This window comes from Homo sapiens, chromosome X, assembly GCF_000001405.40.
Source record: "Homo sapiens chromosome X, GRCh38.p14 Primary Assembly".
NCBI classification, from domain to species: domain Eukaryota; kingdom Metazoa; phylum Chordata; class Mammalia; order Primates; family Hominidae; genus Homo; species Homo sapiens.
Window position 1 is genome coordinate 38,886,219 of NC_000023.11, and position 27,194 is coordinate 38,913,412.

A 27,194-nucleotide genomic window follows, 5' to 3' on the forward strand; every position below is an offset into this window, starting at 1 on the left:
CCTGTTAGGTACAATCTTAGGGTTTATCCCTGACTTTTCCCCCTGAGCAAGTCTTACTCAGCTCAGGTGATATAAGACAGTTGCACAACTTATTGGTCTTTTTTGAGTAAATATTTGCTTGAGCTTCAGTTCTTTTTATCACTGTCCTGACAGTTCTACATTTACCCACAAGTTGTAGAACTCTCTGGCTTTTTCTCCCTGTGCAAGATCAGCACCATCCTTGTAACAGAAAGATGCATTTGTCCATCACTTGAGTGATCTTTTTGAGAGACCACTTTACCTCTTCTCTACTGAGTAGTGGATGATAAGACCTACTTCTAGTCCATTCCACCTGGCATTTGAAATATCACCTTTTTATACCCATTATCATATCCACTATTTAAGGAATCTCAGCATCCTGATGTCTTTTTGTCTATAGGAAACCTACTCTGACTCAAATCTGCCATTAAAGTCTGAACAATGCAGCCACTGATCAGGCCTCAGACAGGCTTGACTTACACATGTTATCTCAGAGGGATATCAATGTGATTCAGGATCACCCACTAAAACCTGAGCTCCAACTAGCCTTTTGAATTGGCTGACAAGCTCCTTGCCTGCCCTGATGGAACAGAACACCAGACACTATGGGGGGAAGTGAGAGGGAAAGTTCTAGTCTCTAAAGCCATGGTTTTCATTTGGGAGTTATGGGCAGTAGGGAAAACACTTCTACAATGCAAATTCCAGACTATACCTTTGGCCTACTAAATCAGAACCCAGGGTGGAGGCAACCCTTCCCCTTTCTTCTCCTTTCCCTATCCAAAGAAAAGCCATGGTAGCAAGGCACAGAGGGGGTTGAAGTGCCTGTGTGCCAGGGTCATCAAGAGAGCACTGGCATCTAAGGGTGGTAGGTTTGCCACCATTTTGACTGTGCCAGGGCTCAATAGATAGTCAAGAATAAAATTATTGGACAGCAAAATTCCTGGGTGTAGGAGACATAGTGCAGCTATACTATTTATTCACTCTGCATCTGGAAGTAATTGATTCAATCTCTTAAACAGCAATTTCTTAAATAGGAAGTGGGCTAATGAGATAGGTGTTTGGTAAAAGTTTAGTGCTTGACAAGTTGGTTTTTGTTGTTGATGCTATCAACAGCATTCTTCAAATGATGAAGAATTAGATGTTATCATCTTCAGTGCCTTTCAAGATTCCAAATGAAAATTGGCTGACTCAAGGTTGATTTGTACTAAACACTTCCTCATTATGCTAAACAGACGTCTCATGGCCAAGTTGGTTTGCCCTTTCTTCATTCTCAATATTTTAGGAACGCATGTTTACAATTTTTTAACTCTCTTGGAAAGAAGTTTGGTAATATGTATTAATAGGCTTTAAATGTCTCTTCCTCAGACCAAGGAAATTTTTAGACAGCTATTTTATTTATTTATTTATTTTATTTTTTGGAGAGATTATCACTTCTATTGCTTTATCCATACCATCTTACATATGACCAATAGGAGAATTTCTATTCCCTAATAGTGAGAGCTGGTTTATCTCACATTCTAATAGTAGGAAACTCTATCTATGATATTTCCAAATTTGCCAGAATCCGTGTCCATAATGATAGCTTCATGGCTTAGAAAATTCTGATGTGCCTGATTCTGAACAGAATTTCCTACAGTGAATTTCCTACAGTGTACCTTGTTGCAATCATATTATTCTTTGTAAATTGGCCATACATTTTGGTATAAAAATAATGAGAACCCCATTCCCTGATCATTCAAGATAACTGAGTTCACCACCTTATGGAGCAAACACAATCCCAAATGGATTAGACTTTCAGCACTAGTTGATAACTATTTTAATATGAATTGGTTCTTCATCAGCTCTCATTTCTTTCTACTAAAAGATTCTGAGGAAGATGGAAAGCCAAGCTTGGGTACACAGAATACAATACCTTTGTTTTACTTGGGGTGATGATGTTGTTTCAGGTGGTCCATTCCCAAAATATATCCACGAACCCCAGATTAGATGTTGATGGCCACTCAGTCCTTCTTAATAGCAATGAATGGAAATGGGTTTTACCAAGAAATTTCAACATTTTCTTGCTTCCACATAAACCTTTTGATGTATTTTCTAACATTTCACAACTAGATTAAAACATAACACGTAAGGGGTCTGTTACCCCTCCCAAGCCCATCTCCATTAAGAAACAACACACACACACACACACAAAAGAAACATCAGGCTGCACAATAAAGGGGTCACCTTACATAATGCACAAAGCTGTGCATGCTGCCTTCTCTCACATGCTCATGGTAGCTAATGCTCTGCACATGAGAGGGGCTCTATAAAAGTGGTCAAATGACAAAAATGGTAGGTTGTATAACAAAAGCAGCACACACTAAAATTATAATTCTCATATTCACAAAAGCAGAGGTAGGCCTTTTCTTGTGACTGTTAGAAGTTCTGCATGGATGAATGCTAGGTCACTATCAGAATTGTTTTCCCATCTGTTTTTCCACCCACTCCCTGCTATTGGTTTAGCATGTTTTCGATACCTCAATAACTCAAAGGTCAAATGTTTCCTTCCCAGGTATATTTCCAGCCTCTGTAGTAAAGTTTGTAAGCTCTCATGTCTCAAGAGGAGTCTAATAAATTCACTGTTTTGTTTAGTCTGAAGATCTTAGCCAGAAGCAACTAGAGAGCTGTATTAGTATTTGGTTTATTTCAAAATTGGTGAGCATGCTTTGAATTTTGAAAATCCCTATGTGATAACTCTTAGGAAGAGCCCTTCTGGCCACTCAGAGGCTTATCTGCAAATGGGTGGATGTTTTACTTAAATGTAAAACCCAAAACCATAAAAACCCTAGAAGAAAACCTAGGCAATACCTTTCAGGACGTAGGCATGGGCAAATACTTCATGACAAAAACACCAAAAGCAATTGCAACAAAAGCCAACATTGACAAATGGGGTCTAATTAAGCTAAAGAGCTTCTGCACAGCAAAAGAAACTATCATCAGAGGGAATAGGCAACCTAGAGAATGGAAGAAAGTTTTTGCAATCTATCCATCTGGCAAAGGTCTAATATCCAGAATTTACAAGTAACTTAACCAAATTTACAATTAAAAAAACCCATTAAAAAGTGGGCAAAGGGTATGAACAGACACTTCTCAAAAGAAGACATTTATGCGGCCAAAAAACATGAAAAAAAGCTCAACATCACTGATCATCAGAGAAATGCAAATCAAAATCACAATGAGATACCATCTCACACCAGTCAGAATGGCGATTATTAAAAACTCAGGAAACAATAGATGCTGGTGAGTCTGTGGAGAAATAGGCACGCTTTTACAATGCTGGTGGGAATGTAAATTAGTTCAACCACTGTGGAAGACAGCATGGCGATTCCTCAAGGATCTAGAACCAGAAATACCATTTGACCGAGCAATCCCATTACTGGGTATATACCCAAAGGAATATAAATCATTCTACTATAAAGACACACGCACACGTATGTTTACTGCAGCACTATTTACAATAGTAAAGACTTGGAACCAACCCAAATGCCCATCAATGATAGACTGGATTTAAAAAATATGGTACACATGCACCACAGAATACTATGCAGCCATAAAAAGGAATGAGATCATGTACTTTGCAGGGACATGGATGAAGCTGGAAGCCATCATTCTCAGCAAACTAACACAGGAAGAGAAAACCAAATACTGCATGTTCTCACTCATAAGTGGGAGTTGAACAATGAGAACACATGGACACAGAGAGGGAAACAACACACACCAGGGCCTGTTGGGGGGTGGGGGGTGAGGGGAGGGAACTTGGAGGATGGGTCAATAGGTGTGGCAAACCACCATGGGGTGCGTATTCCTATGTAACAAACCTGCACATTCTGCACATGTATCCCATTTTTTTAGAAGAAATTTAAAAAAAGCTATTTTAAAGAAATGGACAAGCTCATAAAATTGTTTTTATATCTTCAATAAAGTATTGCTTGTCAACACTAAAATATTATTTGGATGAAGTCAGGTGTTCTTTTTTTTTTCACTAGTAAATTCTTAGGACCCTGGCACACAGAATGTGCTTAATAAATATTTGTTAGATAAATGGATGGATAATTACATTCTACCTACTTGTCTCTGCATAAGTCGTTAAATTGACTAACCTTCAATTTTCTTTCCTATAAAATGGGACTAATAATACTTAACTCTTGGAGTATTTAGAAGAAAACAGCTGTAGTGGATGCTGTGACTGGCCACCCTGATCCCCTTTAAAGAATGACACACTCATTCCTCCAGCTGTTGGGACTGATGGCAGCTGAAAACACTCAGCTGAGTCCAACTTTGCAATTTGCTTCAGCTGCAGAGAGCTACCTTGCCCCAAATCATGCTCCATTTCCAGGGCATCCCACATCCAGTGACCATCTGGCACAATATATAAAGGCTTAGCCTCCCTTGCCCCAACTGAGGACAACTCTGATCAGCCACTTTTATCTCTTGAGCTCTCTATAAGGTCAACTGAGGCGTTCATTGCAGCCCAATTTTTCCATCTGTCCACTCCTGCTTTCTGTTCCTCCCTTCCCCGGGTGTTGATACCAAGAGAACACTAATAATTCTCCTACCTACTAATCTGTCTCTCAGAGTCAGCTTCCCAAAGAATCTAAATAGAGATAGTAGAACATAGTATATTCTAAATAAAACATTTATTGGGTCTGGCAGTCAAAGAGAGGCAAGAGTCCACAAGAACACATGACTGTTTTGTGAGCTCTAACGGTCCTAATAGAAGTGTTTTCTGTTAAATCTTTGTGGATAAAGGTCAGGGAAGGAGTTGCAGTCGGAGCCTACAGACCTATATCTGTTCTAATCAATACAGTGTCATAGTTAAACAAATGGACTTTGGAATCAGACAGCTCTGAGTACATATGCCAACTCTGCCATTCACCAGTTATATGACCTTTGACAGGTTATCTCTCGTGGCCTGTTTCCTCATCTACAAAATGAGGATTATAGGAAACCTACCTAGGTTGGGTGTGATGGCCCACACCTGTAATCCCAGCATTTGGAGAGGCTGAGGCGGGTGGATCATCTGCGGTCAGGAGTTCGAGACCAGCCTAGCCAACATGGTAAAACCCTGTCTCTACTAAAAAACACAAACATTAGCCACGTGTGGTGGTGCATGCCTGTAATCCCAGCTACTTGGGAGGCAGAGGCAGGAGAATTGCTTGAACCCAGGAGGTGGACCTTGCAGTGAGCCAAGACCACGCCACTGCTCTCCAGCCTGGGGAACAGAGAAAGACTGTCAAAAAAAAAAAAAAAAAAAGAAAGAAAGAAAGAAGAAAAATAAAAGAAACCTACCTCAAGGTTGTTATGAGAATTAAATGAGATAAAGTAGGTACAGCTCACAGCAGGGGTCTAACCAGTGCTTAATTATAGGAGCTGTTATGCTGTGGTCAAAAAAGACATAACTTGATCTGGGCTAGGAAATGACTAGAGATCTAGAGATGCAAAGAGTTGGGCTATGATCATGTAGGCAATTGTGAGTATCTCTGCTGTAGACACAGAGATGCATGGCTCAGATCCACCTCCAAGGGAAAGATGTACCCCAGCTGTCAGCTCTGTCAGTCACGGTTTGCCTCAGCTGCAGGAAGTGAGCTCAGTCTCAGAGTATGCCCTTGCCCTTGCAATGATGAATGAAAGTGTGGGTGGGGGATAAAGGTCCAACCACTTTAGCCCAACACAGGACCATTCCAAAGCCCCTCAGGGAAGGGAGAGCTAGCTTAGAGTTTGTCCAGCATGTGTCTTAGCTCAACTTCTTCCTGTACCCAATTCTGCTTTCCCCTCCTCCCTGCCATAGGTGTTGATCCCTCATAAACAGCCTTCACCTCAACTCCATTTCAGAGTCAATTTCAAAGAATTTAGCCTGTGACAAAGTCTGAAAGCACAGCTAAAGGATAACTCCTCAGACCCTACCCCTATCCTCCCCCACTTCCTTTGTTCATCCTTTTATCTTTCAATCTTATCCCTTTGTCTGTGTTTTGTACTTTCAATATTCAGAGCATTGAGTTTTAATGGCCTGTTGTACACAACTTGTCCACGAGCTGTCAGGTCGAGGCAAAAGCCTATTTAGACAAGTTGTCAGGTTGAAGGGGAGAGGGAAAAAAATCCTAAATCAATGTGTTTTCGCATGCAATCACACATGGGCTAATTTATCTGCAGCCACGTTCTACCCTGCCAGTTTGGCATAAGAGTCCTCAGTCAAGGGGGCTGCAAGTTGGCTGATTAACAGAGCGATTTTTATTGGGAGAAGGACAACACAATTGTTTTATGGTAATTATCACCATTTGAACCTGTGCACAAGCTCATGGGGAAGATGAAAGAAAAGGCTCTGTATGAATGATGAAGCAGCTAGAAACATATACAGGACAGAGGGCTAGAACTGTTTAGAATATTGACGTTGTATACCTTGTGTAAAGCCCCTGGAAGGCGACAGATTGGCTATTTTTTTTTTTTTTTTGAGACGGAGTCTCACTCTGTCGCCCAGGCTGGAGTGCAGTGGCGCTATCTCGGCTCACTGCAAGCTCCGCCTCCCGGGTTCACGCCATTCTCCTGCCTCAGCCTCCCAAGCAGCTGGGACTACAGTTGCCTGCCACCACGCCCGGCTAATTTTTTGTATTTTTAGCGGAGACGGGGTTTCACCGTGTTAGCCAGGATGGTCTCGATCTCCTGACCTCGTGATCCACCTGCCTCAGCCTCCCAAAGTGCTGGGATTACAGGCGTGAGCCACCGCGCCCGGCCAGATTGGCTACCTTTTTAAATAGCCCTTGTGCCTTATCTGTGGGACTGAGTGCAAGTATGTTCTGTTTTTAGAGTTGGGAAAACAGGAGGGTAGATTACTAGGTTGACTTACTTAAAGATAACAGCCAAGTCCATTTCAAGGCTGAGAACAGAGCCAACCATTCTGAAAGTGCTGAACTAGGCCATTAAACATTCTCCCTTACATTTCACAAAAACAACTAAATAGAAACAAAACACCAGAAATATAACCCTCAAAACAACACACACACACATGCTTGCACACACACACAGGAGATAGATTTTAGAGTTTTGTTGCCGTGATAATTTTAAATTTGAAACACACTGAAAACTACAAAATACATCCCAGGTGAATTGAAGACTTCAGCTGGGGAAAACACAGACTTTGGTATTTTCTCCTTTGATATTTGATAATTCTCTTTGCATCTTTGTCCATTCCCGCTGTCATAGCTGAGTTTAGGACAAGGACAGAATGAGATAAGTCTGTCACCGCAAGGTAGAAAAGACAAGTGGAGAGTGTAAAAATGGTTTGCAGACTGGAAATGTCTGTTTTAAAGGTTTGTGGTATATGATTAACTTTAAAAAATCTTGCTTAAATTGTTAAGAACAAATTCCTCCAGGTCTGCGGCGGTATCTGTGGCTAGAATTAGAAACACATAGTAATGGGGGCTATGACTTTTGGAGATCTTCCCACTTCTACTACTTTCTCTGCTTTTTATTTTTATTCCCTTTACAAGTAAGGATCATTAAATGATACCTCTCTCCTCATGGCTGGAGCAGAAGAGGGGAAGGGCACAGAGCAAGAGCATTTCTGACAATCATTTTGTTAAGAAAACCCAGGCTTAGAAATAAAAACAGCTTTCTTTCCCCAAAACCAAGAAGACAGATAAAAGTCTAGGCATTCTGGAACTCCTACCCAATTGAGAAATGCTTGCCCCAGAATGGAACATTAGAAAGCTGAGCTGCTGAGAACGCTTAAAACAGATCTCACAGGCAGGATTCCACTGTGCTTCCGCTTGTAGAATGTCTTAGAAAGACAGATTTTATAATTGAAAATAAAAACATTTGATATGTGAATGTAAAAATTTATTTTCCCCTTTGTAATGCCACCACAAAGTTTCGCTAAGGGAGGAAAGATCAATTCTCCATTAAAAAAAGATGTGCAAATTAAGCAAAGCATCATGATTCATTTCATCGTGATGGACTTAGAAGGATGAAACTGGCAATGGATTATAGAACCAGGTATCTCTCAGCTATAGCTTCACATATGAGCTCTTTTTTGGTTGTTTGTTTTTTATATCATCAGCTGGTTTCTCTCAATTTGCTAGAATTTTCTAGAAAAGAAGTTTTAGTCTCCATTTGATGTTTCTCTCAAAATCACAAATGATTTTTTTTGCGGGGGGGGGGACAGGGTCTCACTCTGTCATCCAGGCTGGAGTGCAGTTGCACTACATTGGCTCACTGCAACCTCTGCCTCTTGGGCTCAAGCAGTCCTCCCACCTCAGACTCCCAGGTAGCTGGGGCTATAGGCACGTACTACCACCCCCAGCTAGTTTTTGTATTTTTTGTAGAGACAGGGTTTCGCCATGTTGGCCAAGCTGGTCTCCAACTCCTGAGCTCAACTGATCTGCCCACCTCAGCCTCCTAAAGTGCTAGGATTACAGGCATGAGCCACTGCACCTGGCCAGATTTTTTTATTCAATAACCTATATGGTGTAGCCAGCATGTGTCAGGCACTGTGCTAGGCACAGGAAACACAGGGCTAAAAGACACAACCTCTGCTGTCAAACTGCATAGAGTCTAATAAAGGAGTAGGATAAAATGATAATGACTGGACAGTGTGGGGGTAATGAGAGCAAACACTCAGAGATTACTTTCTTCCAGGCACTTGTCTAAATGCTTACAGGTATAACATCATTTAATCCTCACCACAACTCTGTGAGGTAGGTGAGTACAGGCACAGAAATGTTAACTTATTTGCCAAAGGTCACACAGCTAGTAATTGACAGAGTCAGAATTCAAACGTAGGCAATCTGGTTCAAAGTGGGTGTTCTTCACCTCAACACTGGAGATGTGGCAGCCCCCTTGGGTTGGGTGGGATTGAGGTGGGCTTGGGGTGGGAGATCTCAAGGAAAGCTCTCCAGAAGAGATGACAACAGCCTTAAAAATACTTCCATTGGCTATGTTAAGATGAATGTGCATGATCACCCAACCAGTGTGCAGATTAGAAAGCTGAGAGTGAGGAGAGAAACAGAAAAAGAGAGAGAGAGAGAGAGAATCTTCCAGGACTTGAGAGAGAGAGAGAGAGAGAGAGAGAATTCTTCTAGGACTTCCAAGGCATGACTATATGGAAAAAGGGTCCACACTGCCTGAGAATACTGGTGCTGTAGGGCAGTATTTCCATAGCTGTTGTCTTGGAACCTTAATGCTCCCTGAGACAATAATAGGCAGTCTACAAAATAGGCTTCCAGGATCAAGTAAGTTTGAGAAATGCTGGAGTTCAACAAAGGTCAATAGGTTTCTTTACCTCTGAACTTGCAAGAGTCTTTAACATACTAATGTACACCATGAAACTCCGAGAGGTAAACAGAATTTGGCCACAAATCATCCCTTAACAGAAAGCTCTATGAAGCTCTTGTTCATAGAACAAGAGTCCCAGGAATAGTCTGGGAAATGCTGTCTTCCAGGAGGCACATAAGGGCTCAGCCTGTCCTGAATTCTGAGGCCTGCTCTGCTCCTTAGCTGGATGGTAACAAAAGCCCTGTGTCGGGTGGTGGGCAGTGGGTAGTGGGTGGAGGGTTTGGTGTTTAGTGTCTTCTTTTCTGTCAGTGCCCAAATTCCTGCCCAATTACTTAGACACTTTTCCTGGTTCCCTGACCTTTTGATCCTCAGTTTTTTGCTAAGGGCTGTAGACTCTTTCTTTGGTTCACCTGCCATGACCTGTGAAGCCAACCAGGAGCCAATTTTTCTAGACTTGACCTTTGAACATGAGGAACCTATTAGCCTAAACCTTCAAGTTGGCTTAGCTTCTCCTGACTGCACCTGCCCTGGCCCTTCCACTCCCTCCCTTCTAACTTTTTCTCCCTCCCTTCTTACCTTCCTTCCTTCAACATTTATGATTTGCATTCTATGGGAGCCACAGAGTTTTAGGGTTTAGCATGGTCACTTGCAATTTACAGTTCGTGTCAAAGTTCTGCAGTAGCTGGCCAAACTCAAGTCATGTGCCTGCTCCCTAGCTGGTAGGCTGAGGGGACATAATTCTTGTAAGAAGTATGTGGGAGAGGAAGGCTAGATTTGTAAAATATTCTTCAGATATGTTTTTCAAATACATGTAGATCCTATTGTAGTTAATAAAACATTGTGTGTAGATACTACTAGGATTCATACAATAGATCTTTATGTATACTGAATTAACATTGCTTTTGTCATTATGTATTTAAAAATCAATACATACTATAAATGCTATTGTCTTGTTGGTATCTATGAGTTTTTTGATGTTGAAAGGGGATTCTTTACACCATCCAAACCTCAGGCTTTAGAGTCAGCCAGACTTGGGTTCAAATCCCACTTTTGTCATAGATTAGCTGAGTGACTTTAGGCAAGTTGCTTAATTTTTAAAGCCTTAATTTCTTTACCTGAAAATGGAAATTGTCATACCTGCTTCATGAGTTTATGTGGCAATTAAAGAAAACAATGAATGTAAATCATCTACCAAATTGCATGGTTGTTCAATGATTGATTATTAACATTGTGGAAAAATAGGGGAAAAAGGAGGAGGGTTGCAAAAGAGCATTAGCATGAGCTAGCTGAAAATCACAGGGGCTGGAGGTACTAAGGGAGATTAAACACAGTCATATCTGTCATTACACATGTCCCACATCTTTGGCTCTTCTGAGGTTTTGCATAAACCCCTTAGCTGAATGAACAACCAATGTGAGAAGACACTTGTTATATTTTGCCTGTCCCACATCTGAGGCCCCTTCTTGTGTTCCTGAGTGGGGCTTAGTGAGAGACAAGGAGGTGGGCGGTGTCTCTTGTTTAGCAGTGACCATCCCAGTGGCAGTGGTAGCGTTCAGAGGTTGCCGTGCCTGGCACCATAACCAGGCTGGTCTTGCATCATGACCTTATCTGTGCTCGTGTTCTTCAGCTTCTTTTGGTCATCTCATTCTCTTGCTTTTTGTCAAGTCTGTGAGCTAACCAATAACCTACCAACAAATTCATCTTCAACTTTTGAATGACCTAGGAACAATTTCTGGTGTTTGCAACCAAGAGAGCTACCTAGCACATCCAGAATGTCCACCAATCTCATCTGGCTTGTCTTAGATATGTAGGCTCCAGATCTGATGGCCAATACCAGACCCTTTCTGCATAGCCCTATTCACATTGCAGAGACTTTGTGGATGACATTCTCTCTTGGTTCCATAGTCTGTCTTCCAGGGTGGTTGGTGGCAGAAAACTCATCACTCCATATTTCCTCCCTGTCACTCCATGTTTGACTGTTTCCAGTTGTCAGACCAGAAGTGCAGTGGGGGAACAACTGTGAAGGTTGCCTGGGGTAATACACAGCCAGGTCCTGACTCTAACCCTGACACACTGCAGAATCATGTTTGCAGGGCCACTTCATCTCAGTGATGGTGAGAGCAGCTAGACCCATGCATAGGGTGGAGGATAATGCTGACTTTCGGCTACACTGCCTTCTCCTTCCTCCTCACACATATTGTATTCCAGGGATCAGGCCTCTAGAGTTTACACTGGCTCTCTGTGACCTATGAATGTCCTGGCCCCAGTTTATACTGTTGTTTGTTGTGAGAAAGGACAAGGTGGCCGGGCGCGGTGGCTCACGCCTGTAATCCCAGCACTTTGGGAGGCCGAGGCGGGTGGATCATGAGGTCAGGAGATCGAGACCATCCTGGCTAACAAGGTGAAACCCCGTCTCTACTAAAAATACAAAAAATTAGCCGGGCGCGGTGGCGGGCGCCTGTAGTCCCAGCTACTCGGGAGGCTGAGGCAGGAGAATGGCGTGAACCCGGGAAGCGGAGCTTGCAGTGAGCCGAGATTGCGCCACTGCAGTCCGCAGTCCAGCCTGGGCGACAGAGCGAGACTCCGTCTCAAAAAAAAAAAAAAAAAAAAAAAAAGAAAGGACAAGGTAAGGGTGAGTGCTGCTCTAAAATCCCAGGCTCCCTGAAAGTGCTCTACAGATCCCAAACGTGTACAAAGCACTCTCGTTTTCTTTTCAAATTTCAGATGTTAATTATAAGGAAGAGAATTAGGCATATAAAACAAATTACATTGGCAGCGTTTGCTTTACTCGTACACCATGGGGCCCAGGCTCCCCTAATGAGATGTGACTACAGATCATCGTGCTTCCTGCAAACAGCCAATTGCTTCTAATGTGGCAGAGTCTTCCTTGTATTGCCTGAGAATTAGCCACAGGTGTAGCATTTGACTTTGGAGAGCATTACCCTCCCAGGGAATGTGGTTAAGTCAAAGGCAGAAAGAGGAAGGCAGAGAGGAGAAAGGGAGAGACAGACACCTAAGGTTTAAGAGCTTCCTCATAATTCGCGTTAGCTGCCCCTCCTCCAACCACCACAGCCACTCCAAACAAATGCTTAATCCGAGAAAAAATAGTGTATTTATGTCCTTTCTGTAGAAAGCAATTCTGCAGCTGCCACAGGATGCAGGCAACAAATGCTGTCTTTTATCAGTGTTTAATAATATTAATGTCCCCAGCAAAGAACAAACATCCACTCTACCATGGGTCGAAAACTGTTTGTGGGCTAATTGGAAAACATTACTTAATGTTTTTCTTAATTAGAATTAATTACAAGACCCTAGTGAAGAAATAAGTCCATATGTGAGATGCTAAGTCCTCACACTGTGATGTTAAATTTCCCTAGGAGAGCTGGTCCCTATTCTATCATACCCTCTAAACTGAAAGATCTTCCTCCATTAGAAGTACCTCTGGTAACCTATGTGTACCTAAACATCTCTGTGTTCTTTGTAAGCATGAATGCTCCAACAGTACTGAGATCAGCACAAGTAAAACTGGCTTATTGTTAAACAAAAAGGAGAAACATGATATTAGGTCTAAGGGGCATAGAGGAGGGGGTCTGATTTGTTGGGCTGACCAGCCACTAAATGATTATGGAATTTTGAGGCTCCTGTTCTCTTATCTGTAAATTAAAGGGGCGGGAATAGAGTTTTCTAAAGTTTTTTTTAAGCTCAAACACTCCCGCGCTCTCATTTTCCCAGTCCTGAGATTCTGTCTTGAAATTGCTAACTGTGAGATACCAGAACTGAAACAAAAAGCAAGCTTTTTGAGGTAAAGAATGAACAGTCCAGATAAATTATTTTGATTAAATTTTTAACTTTGTTTAGGGATAGTCAATGTATCTATCTACAGAAACAGACTTTTTTTTAGAGGAGCAACAAAGGAACTATTGAGCTAAGTCAAATGTGCAATTGCTTTGAAAATAACAAGTTAGCATCTCATGAGAAAATATTAGTTTGAATGAATCAAGCTATATTCTGTAAAAACAGATGTTTGTTTGCATATAGACTCGACCGTTACTTGCTGTAAGAATTTCCCAAACCCTGTTCTGAGGAGTAGAAGTGTTTTTCTAATCTGTAAGTATTGGTACAGTGGAGAAGAGAGGAGGTCTGTGGTTAAATAAGCTTTGGAAATGCTGAATCAAATAGTTATATAAGGTCTCTTCACAATGAGATCCTTAGGGCATTTATCATGCTGAGGGGCTTTGTGACCATCCTGTGACATACAGTTTGCAGTGTTTGATCTTATTTGACATTGGAAACCTTTTTATTGACATGTCAGCAATTCGTGAAATACCAGTGAGCTACAAAATTATTATAAGAAATAATATGGTACTAGGGTCTGAATGTTTGTGTCCCCTCAAAATTCATATGCTGAAACCTAATCCCCAAAGTGATGTTATTAGAGATGGAGTCTTTGGGAAGTGATTAGGCCATGAGGGCTGCACTCTCATGAATAGGATTGGTGCCCTTATTAAAGAGGTCCCAGAGAGCCCCTTTTGCCCGTTCACCATGTAAGGACACATAGAAGGTGCCATCTAGGAGGAACAGGCCTTCCCCAGTCATTGAATCTTCTAGCACCTTGATCTTGGACTTTCCAGCCTCCACATTTGTGAGTAATAAACTTCTGTTGTTTATAAACTACCTGGTGTAACATTTTTTTTATAGTAGCCCAAGAAGACTAAAATAGAAATTGGTACCGAGAAGTGGGGTGTTGCTATAACTAATACCTAAAAATGTGGAAGTAGCTTTCAAACTGGGTTATGGGTAGAGGCTGGAAGAGTTTTCAAGTGCATTGCTGTGAATGTAGCTTTAATGGTGATTTTGGTGGGGGCTCAGAATAAGAAGAGAGCTGTAGAGAAAGCCTCATTCTTCTTAGAGATTACCCAAGTGGTTGTAATCAGAATGTTGGTGGAAGTATCGATGGCAAAAGCCATTCTGATGAAGTCTCAAACAAAGATGAAGAACATGTTATTGGAAACTAGAGGAAAGGCCATTTTGTTATAAAGTGGCAAAGAACTTGGCAGAATTGTGTTTATATCCTAGTGTTTTATGGAAGGTAGAACTTATTAGTGATGAAATAGGAACTGCCACAGGGGTGAGACCACCGCAGAGAACCCCCACTAGGGCAATGCCTAGTGGAGCTGTGAGGTCAGGGCCACCGCAGAGCAACCCCACTAGATAAATGCCTAGTGGAGACATAGAATGGGTGTGCCTCCAAGACACTAGAATGTACCAGTGTGCAAAACCAGCCTTGGGAGAGCCACAGGCATGTGACACCAACCCACGAGAACAAAGAGCATGGGCTGTGCACAGCAAAGCCATGGGGGTGGGGCTGCCTGGAACGTTAGGGACGTAACTCCCACCCCTTCTGTATGCAGAAGGTACAACATGAAATCAAAGATTATTCTCCGGCCTTGAGTTTTTGTTTGTTTCTTGAGACAAGAGTCTTGCACTGTTGCCAGTAGTGTTAGCTCACTGCAACCTCTACCTCCCAGGTTCAAGCGATTCTCATGCCTCAGCTTCCTGAGTAGCTGGAACTACAGGCGCCCGCCATCACGCCCAGATAATTTTTGTGTTTGTAGTAGAGACGGGGTTTCACCATGTTGGCTAGGCTGGTCTCAACCTCCTGACTTCAAGTGATCCACCTGCCTTGGCCTCCCAAAGTACTGGGATTACAGGGGTGAGCCACGGTGCCTGGCCAGCCTTTAGATTTAATATTGTTTGCCTTGTTGAATTTTGGATTTATTTGGGACCAGTTACCCTGTTCTTCCTTCCTGTTTGTCCCTTTTCAAATGGGAACGTCCATCTTGTAACTGTCTCAGCGTTGAATTTTGAAAGTGCATAATTTTTTTTTTCTTTTCACAGGCTTAAAGCTAGAGAGCAATTTGGTTCAAGATTAATCATACCTTGAGTCTCACACATATCTGGAATAAGTTGATATTATATTGAGATGAGTCTTTGACTTAGATTTTAAAGTTAATGCTGGTATGAGTTGAGGCTATTGTGATGGAATGAGTGAATTTTGCATGTAAGAAGGACATGAATTTGGGGTGGAGGGCAGGGGTAGAATACTATGATCTGAATATTTGTGTCTCCCACTTCCAAATTCATATGTTGAAACCTAATTCCCAAGGTGATGGCATTAGGAAGTGGGGCCTTTGGGAGGTGATTAGGTTATGAGGGGTCCACCCTTGTGAATGGGATTAGTGACCTTATAAAAGAGGCCCCAGATTGCCCTTTTTGCCCTTCAGTCATATGAGGTTACATAGAAGGTGCCATGCTGGTGCCTTGATCTTGGACTTTCTAGCCTCCAAAACAGTGAGTAATAAATTTCTGTTGTTTATAAATTACCCAGTATGTAAGGTGTTTTGTTACAGCAGCTCAAATGGACTAAGACATACAATCTACAATTAGAAGAGTTTATTTCACTATGTCAGCTGAAAGCCCAAGCAAAACAAGCTTAGAAGAAAGAATAAACTAGAGAAATCCTGCAAATGTAGACTTTGATCAATTTCCTTCCTGATAAGATTCAAATAAGTATATGAAAGAGTTTGCCATTAAGAATCAGAATAATGAAGTTTGATTAAGTACAATCAAATGATTTCTTCTAAGTGGCAAGTGCAACACCCATTGATACGTAAAATAAATTTTATTTCTTGAAAAGAGTACAATTTTATTTGCTCTTAGAAGATTTTCATGTTGTATGATTTAGAAGACTATAGAAAAGATAGAAGATGGTGGATAGCAATTTTATTTTTCTACTTTAATAGTTATTAAATCAAACTCTATTAATCTAAACAAGGAATCCTATTTTCTTTGTGTGAAGAAAAAACCAGCAGATAAATTTCTAAGTGTCACAAAGAGAATTGTGGGTGTAAAGTTGTTGTTATTATTAATATGAGTTAGGTGTAAAATAGCCAAAGAAAATCTGCTTAAAAATCACCATTATATAAGACTTACTCTAGAGAATAAAGATGATCCCTGGAATGTACTTAGCAAGACAATAAATAAAGGTGTAAGCATCAGACGTTCTCAGAATAGGGATATTTCTTATGTGGGTGGTATATTATTTTCCCCCAGTCATGAGATATATATGTCTGTCCACAGAATAGATGGCTTAGGGATAAATCTGAAGGTGAGTAAATGATTTCATTCTGAGCATAAAGAGTTTTTGTACTTGTTTATTAGAAATACCATCTAAAACTCAGATTATTATTTTTGATTTTGGTTAACAATAATGTCTTGGTTCCTGTTTCTTTTTCTCTTTCCCATGTTGCTTAGCACCCATTATCAGTGATGTCAAAAGATGGCAGGAGAGAAAAAAGGATTAAAAAATACCACAAAATAATTTACCAGAAAGAGTACTTCTTGAATGCACTGTAATTTTGCTCTCAAGTAGGAATTTTAAACCTTCAAGGAGTGAATCTTTGTCTCCTGGGAAAAGGATATTTCCCTTTCTGGATCGGTCAGAGCTCCCATCTGCCTCCCACCATGACCATCCCTCATCATAACTGTGACTGGTATGCTTCTAGTTGAAAAGACACTGGATTTATGCTGTACGGCATGCACAAATGGGACACTGGCCTGTAGTGTTTGATTGATCGGATTCGCAGGAGGCCGTCTGAATACCACATGAGGCGTGAGGCTGGTGTTCCCCAGTCCCTACAGTGAGCTGTAGTGTTGGGGATAGGCTGGGCCACGTTGGGCGGGCTACACTTTTCAAACCTACTCGGTTCAGCTGTGGTGACGCAGGCCAGGGGCATCTCAAGCTGTTTGGGGCTTGCACTAACCACGTGTGACAGACACCTTTGCTCCTGCTTCCCAGCAGTAGAATCTCAACTAGAAACAGTGGGAAAATCGCTCTTCTACTTGAGAGGAGACTACAGAGGTGAGGACTGACTTGTATTTCGTATTATAATGAAAGGATGCTTACACTCCAGCAGGATATTAAAACCATAAATATTATAACAGATGAGTTTGCAAACACTATTTCCTCAGAGAAATCGTTTCTTATACCCCAGACTAGGTGAGGGACCTTTGTTATATAATACCCTGAATTCCTTTTTTTGTGGTATGCACTGGCATTGTCATGAATCAATCCATTATTTGAGGAATTATTTGTTTCTTATTGGTTCTCAAATATTTAATGTTAATTCCATAAGTGTAAAGAATTACATCTTTTTCTATCATTCTCCCCAGCACCCAGGGCAAAATGCGATTAAGCTCTTCCTTTCCCTTCTTTTCCCTTTTCTTCATGAATAATTTAATCCTAAAGACATTAGGTGGGGCAGAACAAGATAGGTGTCCGTGGTGGAAAGGGGAGGGGGTGTGGAGGCCTAGACTTGGATGTCAGAGCCCTAGCAGAGTAAGCAGTGTATCTGCATCCTCATATAACTAAGGGATGGGCTCATTTAACTCCTGTCCCATAGCAGACACTCTTGGTGTACTCAGCCACTTTGGAGAGGGGGGAGAGGGCCATCAGATTATAAATGCAATTAGAAAAAACATCTGTTAGATTGATTTTTTCATTGTTTCAACCAGTTCTTGTGGCATTGTAGAGACAGATCACTAGTTAATTTCATTTGATGGGCAGTAGTATCTGTGCTAATTGAATTTTTGACTGGATGTTTGGGAGTCATAAAAATATATTTGTATTTGTGTGTGTGTGTGTGTGCATGTGTGTATGTATGTGTGTGTAAGAGAGGGGGAGAGAGAGAGGGAGAGAGAGAAAACCACAGCCTTTGAAATCAGGCAGATTCTGCTTCAAGCCTTGGTTGCCTCATTCATAAAATGGGCTTGATAATAAATTTGCTTGTGGAATTGTGGTAATTATATTAAATGAGCTGTCCATATTTATTCATTATGAAATCTTGACATAGATGCTCAAAGACAGGAGTGCTTCAAAAAACTTTTTGTGCTGTGGACCCCCTTGGAAGTCTGGTGAAGGCAGTGAATTCCTTTTTGAAAGAGTGTTTTTCAAATACATAAAAAATAAATAGAGCTAAAAGGGAGCCAATTGTATTGAAATATAGTTATCAAAATATTAGTAAGCACATTTGTGATACAGTAATCTATGTGTTTTATTGATATATTCAACAAGATCTGGTGACAGATCTAATAACAGCCATAATTTTGAAGCAGAGATGAGCGTAAATGATGTGTTAATACCAAGGTATTCTGAACAACTGTAATGTGATACAAATGAATCTGTGACATTTATTGGTGACGAAGACACAAGTCTTACTAGTAAAACTGTTGTCTGTTTGCTTTATTCATAAACAAAGAAAATGTTAAATGTTAGTTAGAAGTTGGAATAAAAATACCAATCTTTCCTCATCTGAGTTCACAGACCTCTGAATTCTAGTCTCAAATCCCTCAGTGCAGCCTAGGTTAAAACCCCTACTCTAAGATAACATTGACTTATACAAATTTTTCTACTCCTGTCACCTTCTCCAAAGGTAAGTAAATAGAGTCTGTGATGATAGCTGTGGAACTTTCTGCCCTCCAGCTGCCATTACAAGCTTGTCCTCAGTCTGGGATTCTGGAAGCAGTGCCTAGGGTGTTCCCCGTTCCCCTCCGTCCTTTTTTTTTTTTTTTTTTTTTTTTTTTGAGATAGAGTCTCACTCTGTCGCCCAGGCTGGAGTGCAGTGGTACAATCTTGGCTCACTGCAACCTGCGCCCCTAGGGTTTAAGCAATTCTACCACCTCAGCCTCCCGAGTAGCTGTGATTACAGGCACCCACGATCATGCCCGGCTAATTTTGGGAATTTTAGTAGAGACAGGGTTTCACCATGTTGGCCAGGCTAGTCTTGAACTCCTGACCTCAAGTAATCTGCCCACCTCGGCCTCCCACGGTGCTGAGATTACAGGCGTGAGCCACCACACCTGGCTCCCTCCATCTTATATTTGATGTGTCAGGGCATGAACTAGAAGAGCCTGTGTGTGCTTAGACATGGAGAAATCCTTGCAATGTCCCAAATACGTTTGCTCTGCTTGCCTATGGAGGATATGTGTGTGTCCAGCATCCTTTAGGCTTTCCAGTTTTCATCACTGGCCATGCTGGGTGGGCTTGCTTCTGAGAAGACACTAATATAGCCATAGCCACTTGTGTTAAAAAATGATTTCCCTTGCCTCCAGCAAGCTATTTGTCCTCTGAACTTTATTTATAAACACCCCCACAGTTAAGGCATCTGTTTCTTCATGTTAATTTCGCCAGCACTGGTCTTCCTAGCCGGGAAGGAGGGTTTCAGCCTGTGGGTAGGCCAAGGGAGGGAAGCAGGTAGCATGAGCATTAGGCTGGGAAAGAAGAGCTCACCACAGGCCCTGTGGAACAGGCAGATGGAAATGCAGAGGGAAGCACCATTTCATTCCTAACCTCCCCTGGAGGTTTAGGGAAAAGGAAAGCTGTGAAGCCCTGAAATGAGCTCAGGCTGTAGAAACAAATGAGGTGGAGAAATGAAGAATCCAGGAAGAAAATAAAAGCCCAGTTTTTAGGTGGGTAAAAATTAAGCTGAAAAAGTTGAAGTAAAATGTCTTCTTACTTTTCTAATTAAAAAAGATAAATGATATGTGTGACTTTCTCTGCTTGGAAGCTGGCCTCTTGTGTCAGTTCAGAAGAAATCATTAAGAAACAACACTGACCTTGGAACTCTGGGATTACTGTTGCTACTCTGGCTACTTCTGTATCCATTGGCTGGGCTCTTTACAAACTCCCCTATGCCTCTTTTGGGGGTGAAGTGTGGAGAAAACTAGGTCGCTTGGAGATGGAAACAAAGGAAGGAGCGAAGAATAGATGTAGTTTTGTGCTGGCTTTTGAGGCAAGCTGAAAATCACCAACGAGATGCCTGAGCACAGCCTCCCTGAGGTGGCTCCTTGATATATCACATTAACAGTTGAAATTGTCCACTGAGAGAGCAGAGAGGGCTGTTTGCGGGTAGAAGAGGCAAAGGATGGTGTGCTATACAGCTGCCATATCTGTCTGAGGAAAGGATTTCCCCTCTAAGGCACCAAGAACTAGTAGCAGTGTGAGGTCCCTGGTTAGAAAAGGGTAGAAGGATGAGAGAATGATTAATTAAAAACCTAGCTTGGCCCTGAAAAGATCAAATGAGTAATAATGAAATCCATCAGCATCCTTGGCAGAAAAAGAATTTTCCTAAATGCTTAGAACCAGCATGAAGGCCCTATCAAGCTAGTTTCATGTTTCTTTAAATCATGTCCTTTTCTGTGGATAAAAGTCCTACATCCTTAAGGCAGGGTGCGATGGCTCATGCCTGTAATCCTAGCACTTTGGGAGGCTGAGGCCAGAGGATGGCTTGAGCTCAGGAGTTTGAGAGCAGCCTGGGCAACATACTAAGACCCTGTCTCTATTTTTAAAAAAAGTTCTACACCTTCACTGTAGGACCTTAAGTACATAAAGAGAGACAGGAAAAGTAACCTATAATATTACCACCCAGAACAGCCCATGGTTAACACCTTAACTTCTTTATTTCTTCTGTTTCCTTGGTTTCGATTTCCTCTGTAAAATTATAGAATGGACTATATTTATTTAAGAGCTATTGGCTACAGAGGAGGGAAGCTGACAGAGGCCAGGCCCTGGGCCTCACATTGCTCGCTGTTCAACGTAGCAGTTTTGTCACATGGGTACTTGCCTGTCCTCCCTCTTTGGACGGTGAGTTACTCAATTGCCCCCAGCAGTTAGACTGTTCTCTTCAGTGCCCCTTTGCCATCTTGTATGACCCTCTCTTGTCACAGTGTGAGTTCCTTAAGTTGAACCCTCAGTACTATTTTTTTTTCAATGACTATTTTTTTTAAAAAGCAATCTTGAATGCCTACTTTGGGTCAGGTCCAATGGCAGGTGCTTACACATGCCTTTAATTCATTTAATTCTTCATTTAATTCTATCAGTTTTCCTATTCCTAGGGCCAGGCCAGTGTCTGGCCTGCAGAAGGTTCAGTAGGAAGGTATTTTGGAAAGAATGTGAGCACTGAAATTAGACTGGGTTTGGATCCCAGCCCTTCTGGTCAGCTGTGTGACCTTGGGACAGCAATTTAACCTCTCTAAACTTCAATGTCCTCATTTGAAAAATGAATATAATAAGATCTTCAATTGGGGCTTGTGATGAAGATTAAATGACATGATATATGCAAAATTCTCACGCATACTATGTGTTCCATATATATAAAATGAATGAATGAATGAAGAAATGAAGAAAGAATGAGTGATCAATTAGAGTCCAAGGAAGCAATCAAAGACTACTGTGGGTATTCAGGTGGAAAAGGAGAATGAACCAAGACTCAACCTTCATGCCCCAAGGACTTCATTGTCTCCCTCCAAATCTGGTCTCAGAAGAAGTCTTAACATGAGGCATTGAACTTTAGGTGAACATGTAAGTTGACATGCTCCCTCTCTGAAAAATATTTGCATTTTTAAGGCAAATTTCCAATAATCTGGTTTAGGTAATATTTTGTAGAATTCCAGAGGGCTCACAGTTTCCTCTGAAGCCCATCTATGAACCCTGTCCTACCCATTAAGAACCTCTTATGTCTCCACAAGTATTAATTGGGGGGTCACAGAGAAATTGTTAAGAGACTTTTCTGGTAGGATGCATTTTAATTGGAAGCAAGTCAGGATACGATTTTAGTAATTGAGGCATGAAGAGTCCTTCATACTCCAGTGGTGCCAGTATGATTGGACAAAAAAAGTAGATTCCAGAGACTAAATGTTGAGAACTGAACATAGTGAGGCCCAAGCTGATGCTGTCTTTCATAGAGAGAAATAAAGAACAATTCAGATAAGGTTCCAAGTTTTGAACCTGAGCAGACAAGGTAATGACACCCTAAGGTAGTATAGAAGGGAGCTGGTTCTCTGGAGAACAGATGATAACTTTGATTTTAGCCATAGTGAATTTGGGGTGATTAGGAAGCAGCCAGCAGTCGGGGGCAGGAGTTGGGGAAGTAGGGTGCTGACAACACAGTTGGAGGTGTAAATTCCTGAAGGAAAACCATTTCTTCCAGCACCAACATCATGATTCTATGATGACTGGGAATAAAAATTGGGGCTAGAGCTTCAACTGGGGGATCTTCATCTTAGATGTAAAAGTGAAGGTGTCAGGAAGGTGGATTAATGGCCTGAGAGAAACAATGTAGAGAAAAATAATAAAGGACCAAGTACTAGATCGTGAAATTAGCTCACATTTAGGGGTGAGGGAAAGAAGTGAGCTAAACAAAGGAGCTAAAAGTGGCTGGAGAGAGAGAGAAAGAGAGAGAGAGAGAGAGAAGATACAGTGCCACATAGGAGGACCTCTCAGCAGAGAATGGACAACCCAGCCAGGCAAAGAATGAGGACATAGGCACATCTCAAAAGACTTAGACAGATGGAGACCAAGAGGGAGGCACCTCTTCCTACTGATACTGAGACAGCATTTGGGTAAGACACAAGCTGAGCTCCAGCCCAGGAGAGGGAGAAGGGGCAGCACAGGGAATTCTGAGTTTGTTTGAGCTTCAATATGGATGACAGAGAAAATCACTGAAGTGTCTGACAGCCTATTAGTGATCAGACTATGCTTTCTGCATTAGACAGATGGGAGCTCCGGGTAGAATTTAAGTCCAGTTTAGAGGGAAATTTTTAAAAGTTACAGTTTTGTATACTTGAATTTGTGACCATAATATTTATACTGCCCAAACCATAAGAATTTGAACAAAGCACTTTAAATTCTTCAAAGCCCACTTGATGTGCTTTGTTGATACACCTGTCAAGAAAGAAGACAATAAATGCCTTTGTGCATTCAAATTCTTATGGTTTGGGCAGTATAAATATTATAGTCACAAATTCAAGTATACAAAATTGTAACTTTTAAAAATTTCCCTCTAAACTGGACTTAAATCATAAATTGGGTATTGATGGGACATATCTCAAAATAATAAGAGCTATCTATGACAAACCCACAGCCAATATCATACTGAATGGACAAAAACTGGAAGCATTCCCTTTGAAAACTGGCACAAGACAGGGATGCCCTCTCTCACCACTCCTATTCCACATAGTGTTGGAAGTTCTGGCCAGGACAATCAGGCAGGAGAAGGAAATAAAGGGCATTCAATTAGGAAAAGAGGAAGTCAAATTGTCCCTGTTTGCAGATGACATGGTTGTATATCTAGAAAACCCCATCGTCTCAGCCCAAAATCTCCTTAAGCTGATAAGCAACTTCAGCAAAGTCTCAGGATACAAAATCAATGTGCAAAAATCACAAGCATTCTTATACACCAATAACAGACAAACAGAGAGCCAAATCATGAGTGAACTCCCATTCACAATTGCTTCAAAGACAATGAAATGCCTAGGAATCCAGCTTACAAGGGATGTGAAGGACCTCTTCAAGGAGAACTACAAACCACTGCTCAATGAAATAAAAGAGGATACAAACAAATGGAAGAACATTCCATGCTCATGGGTAGGAAGAATCAATATCGTGAAAATGGCCATACTACCCAAGGTAATTTATAGATTTAATGCCATCCCCATCAAGCTACCAATGACTTTCTTCACAGAATTGGAAAAAACTACTTTCAAGTTCATATGGAACCAAAAAATAGCCCGCATTGCCAAGTCAATCCTAAGCCAAAAGAACAAAGCTGGAGGCATCACGCTACCTGACTTCAAACTATACTACAAGGCTACAGTAACCAAAACAGCATGGTACTGGTACCAAAACAGAGATATAGACCAATGGAACAGAATAGAGCCCTCAGAAATAATGCCGCAGATCTACAACTGTCTGATCTTTGACAAACCTGAGAAAAACGAGCAATGGGGAAAGGATTCCCTATTTAATAAATGGTGCTGGGAAAACTGGCTAGCCATATGTAGAAAGCTGAAACTGGATCCCTTCCTTACACCTTACACAAAAATTAATTCAAGATGGATTAAAGACTTAAATGTTAGACCTAAAACCATAAAAACCCTAGAAGAAAACCTAGGCAGTACCATTCAGGACATAGGCATGGGCAAGGACTTTATGTCTAAAACACCAAAAACAATGGCAACAAAAGCCAAAATTGACAAATGGGATCTCATTAAACTAGAGAGCTTCTGCACAGCAAAAGAAACTACCATCAGAGCGAACAGGCAACCTACAGAATGGGAGAAAATTTTTGCAACCTACTCATCTGACAAAGGGCTAATATCCAGAATCTACAAAGAACTCAAACAAATTTACAAGAAAAAAAAAAAACAACCCCATCAAAAAGTGGGCAAAGGATATGAACAGACACTTCTCAAAAGAAGACATTTATGCAGCCAAAAAACACATGAAAAAATGCTCATCATCACTGGCCATCAGAGAAATGCAAGTCAAAACCACAATGAGATACCATCTCACACCAGTTAGAATGGCAATCATTAAAAAGTCAGGAAACAACAGGTGCTGGAGAGGATGTGGAGAAATAGGAACACTTTTACACTGTTGGTGGGACTGTAAACTAGTTCAACCATTGTGGAAGTCAGTGTGGCGATTCCTCTGGGATCTAGAAGTAGAAATTCCATTTGACCCAGCCATCCCATTACTGGATATATACCCAAAGGATTATAAATCATGCTGCTATAAAGACACATGCACACGTATGTTTATTGTGGCACTATTCACAGTAGCAAAGACTTGGAACCAACCCAAATGTCCTACAATGATAGACTGGATTAAGAAAATGTGGCACATGTACACCATGGAATACTATGCAGCCATAAAAAATGATGAGTTCATGTCCTTTGCAGGGACATGGATGAAGCTGGAAACCATCATTCTCAGCAAACTATCGCAAGGACAAAAAACCAAACACCGCATGTTCTCACTCGTAGGTGGGAATTGAACAATGAGAACACATGGACACAGGAAGGGGAACATCACACACCAGGGACTGTTGTGGGGTGGGGGAGCGGGGAGGGATAGCATTAGGAGAGATACCTAATGCTAAATGACGAGGTAATGGGTGCAGCACACCAGCATGGCACATGTATACATATGTAACAAACCTGCACGTTGTGCACATGTACCCTAAAACTTAAAAGTATAATAAAAAAAATTCTTCAAAGCCCTTCCCCCTCAACTATCTCATTTGATTCTTTTCATGTGGCAGGTAACACAGGCATCATAGTTCCCATTTTACAGAAAAAGAAACTGAAGCTTGAAGAGATATGAGTATATTCCCAAAGTCCCAGGGGCCAAGCAAGAACCTCAGCCCAAGGACTTTGAACTCCTGATTCTGTATTTCTTCCATGCCAGAACTCTGAGGATAGGTTCAGAAGTTCTTACCATCCCATTGGAAGTCTGTTTGGGTTTATATCTTCCAAGTTATAGAACCCAAATTATAGAGTCTACTGGATCATTTGGGTAAATGTGTCACCAGTTCTGCTCATTGACTGTAGTGAAATAGGAATGTCCTGTGTGTGTGTGTGTGTGTGTGTGCGTGCACGTGCGTGTGTGTATTGCATGTGTGTGCACCTGTGTGCATACATTGGAGGAGGGACAATTCAAACATCATTTTGAAGAATGGGCCTTTTAGCATCCCTCAAAATGCAGGATAACATAATGGCCAAAAGCATTTGCTCATTGTAAGATTTTGGACAAGTTTCCTCCCTTCCCATTGCCTCAATTTCTTACCTATAAAATGAAGATGACAGTATCTATTTTGTATGGAGTCTGAGAGGATTAAATGGGTCAAATGAGATAGTTGAGGGGGAAGGGCTTTGAAGAATGTAAAGTGCTTTGTTGATACACCTGTCAAGAAAGAAGACAATAAATGCCTTTGTGCGTAAAGTACCTGGTTCTCTAATTTTCTGTTGTAAGTATACAAAACATGTGTTGTCACCAACACAAGCAGTACTCTGTGGAGGGTGGCCCACGATGGCTGCTCTAAGTTCCAGATAATGTCGGGACACTTGAGCTGCTCACGAGCGATCAGCTGTGACCTGAGATTTGGCTTGTAGCCCCCTTCTGCAGCCTTGAGGAAAAGCTAGTCAGAGCAAAGTGGGGAGGGATGACTACAAAGGCAGACTCTGGAAAGTTATCTGGGTATGATATAGTGGTGGGACCTGCCTTACAAAAGAAGGACAGTTCTTGAAAAATCTGTTACTGTCTCCTAAGAAAGAAAGTAAACAGTTAGGGCTGCAAACTTCAGCCCGTTAGACTGGCCCTTTCTAAATAGTGGCTACAATTTACTCACATGAGTTTTCAAGGGCAGAGAGCACAGGCAGACCCACAAAGAGGTAAAGAAGGAACCTAGATTCTGACAGCCAGGCCAATGGGCAGGGAGCTGCTCCAGCCCTACAGAGATAGGCCAGGCTCTGGAGGGCCCTCTAGGAACTTCGGGGATTCAGAAAAGAAGCTGGAAGGGAGAGATATGTGGGAGGAGGCATGAGCAGATGGAGGAGTATCAGAGGCAGGGAGAATTGATAGTATTTTAGCAGCTTCAGATAAAATACAACAGATTTTCCTACATGGCCCTAAATCTGGGTCTGGGAGGCAGTTTTCAAAAGATGGGCTTGAAAAATAGTTTGAATAAGGTTGGGGGCGGGGAGTGGGAGAGCATATTTTCCAAGGAGATACATGCAGGAAGGGGTCAGTTCCTGAACTTCCATCAAGCTGTTTTCATTATTATATCCTGGTTGATTGCAGAGGCTCAATAAATAATTGTTGATTGAATCAATGAATTAGACACACACCTTACACTGGCCATTAGCACATAAAACCTTACTTTGGTTCTCAAGTGGAACAAAAGGCCAGGCCAGCACTGCCAGTTCTACTTGGGCTGAATGAAACCTCATACCCCAAGAAAGAAGTGACTTAG

At 41.6% G+C, this 27,194-nt stretch overlaps 1 long non-coding RNA gene across 1 annotated transcript in view; it reads left to right on the forward strand.

The window, feature by feature from the left end:
* Positions 1–27,194, forward strand: part of LOC124905177 (uncharacterized) — a 148,876-nt gene that overhangs the window by 15,472 nt on the left and 106,210 nt on the right. The window lies entirely within an intron of this gene.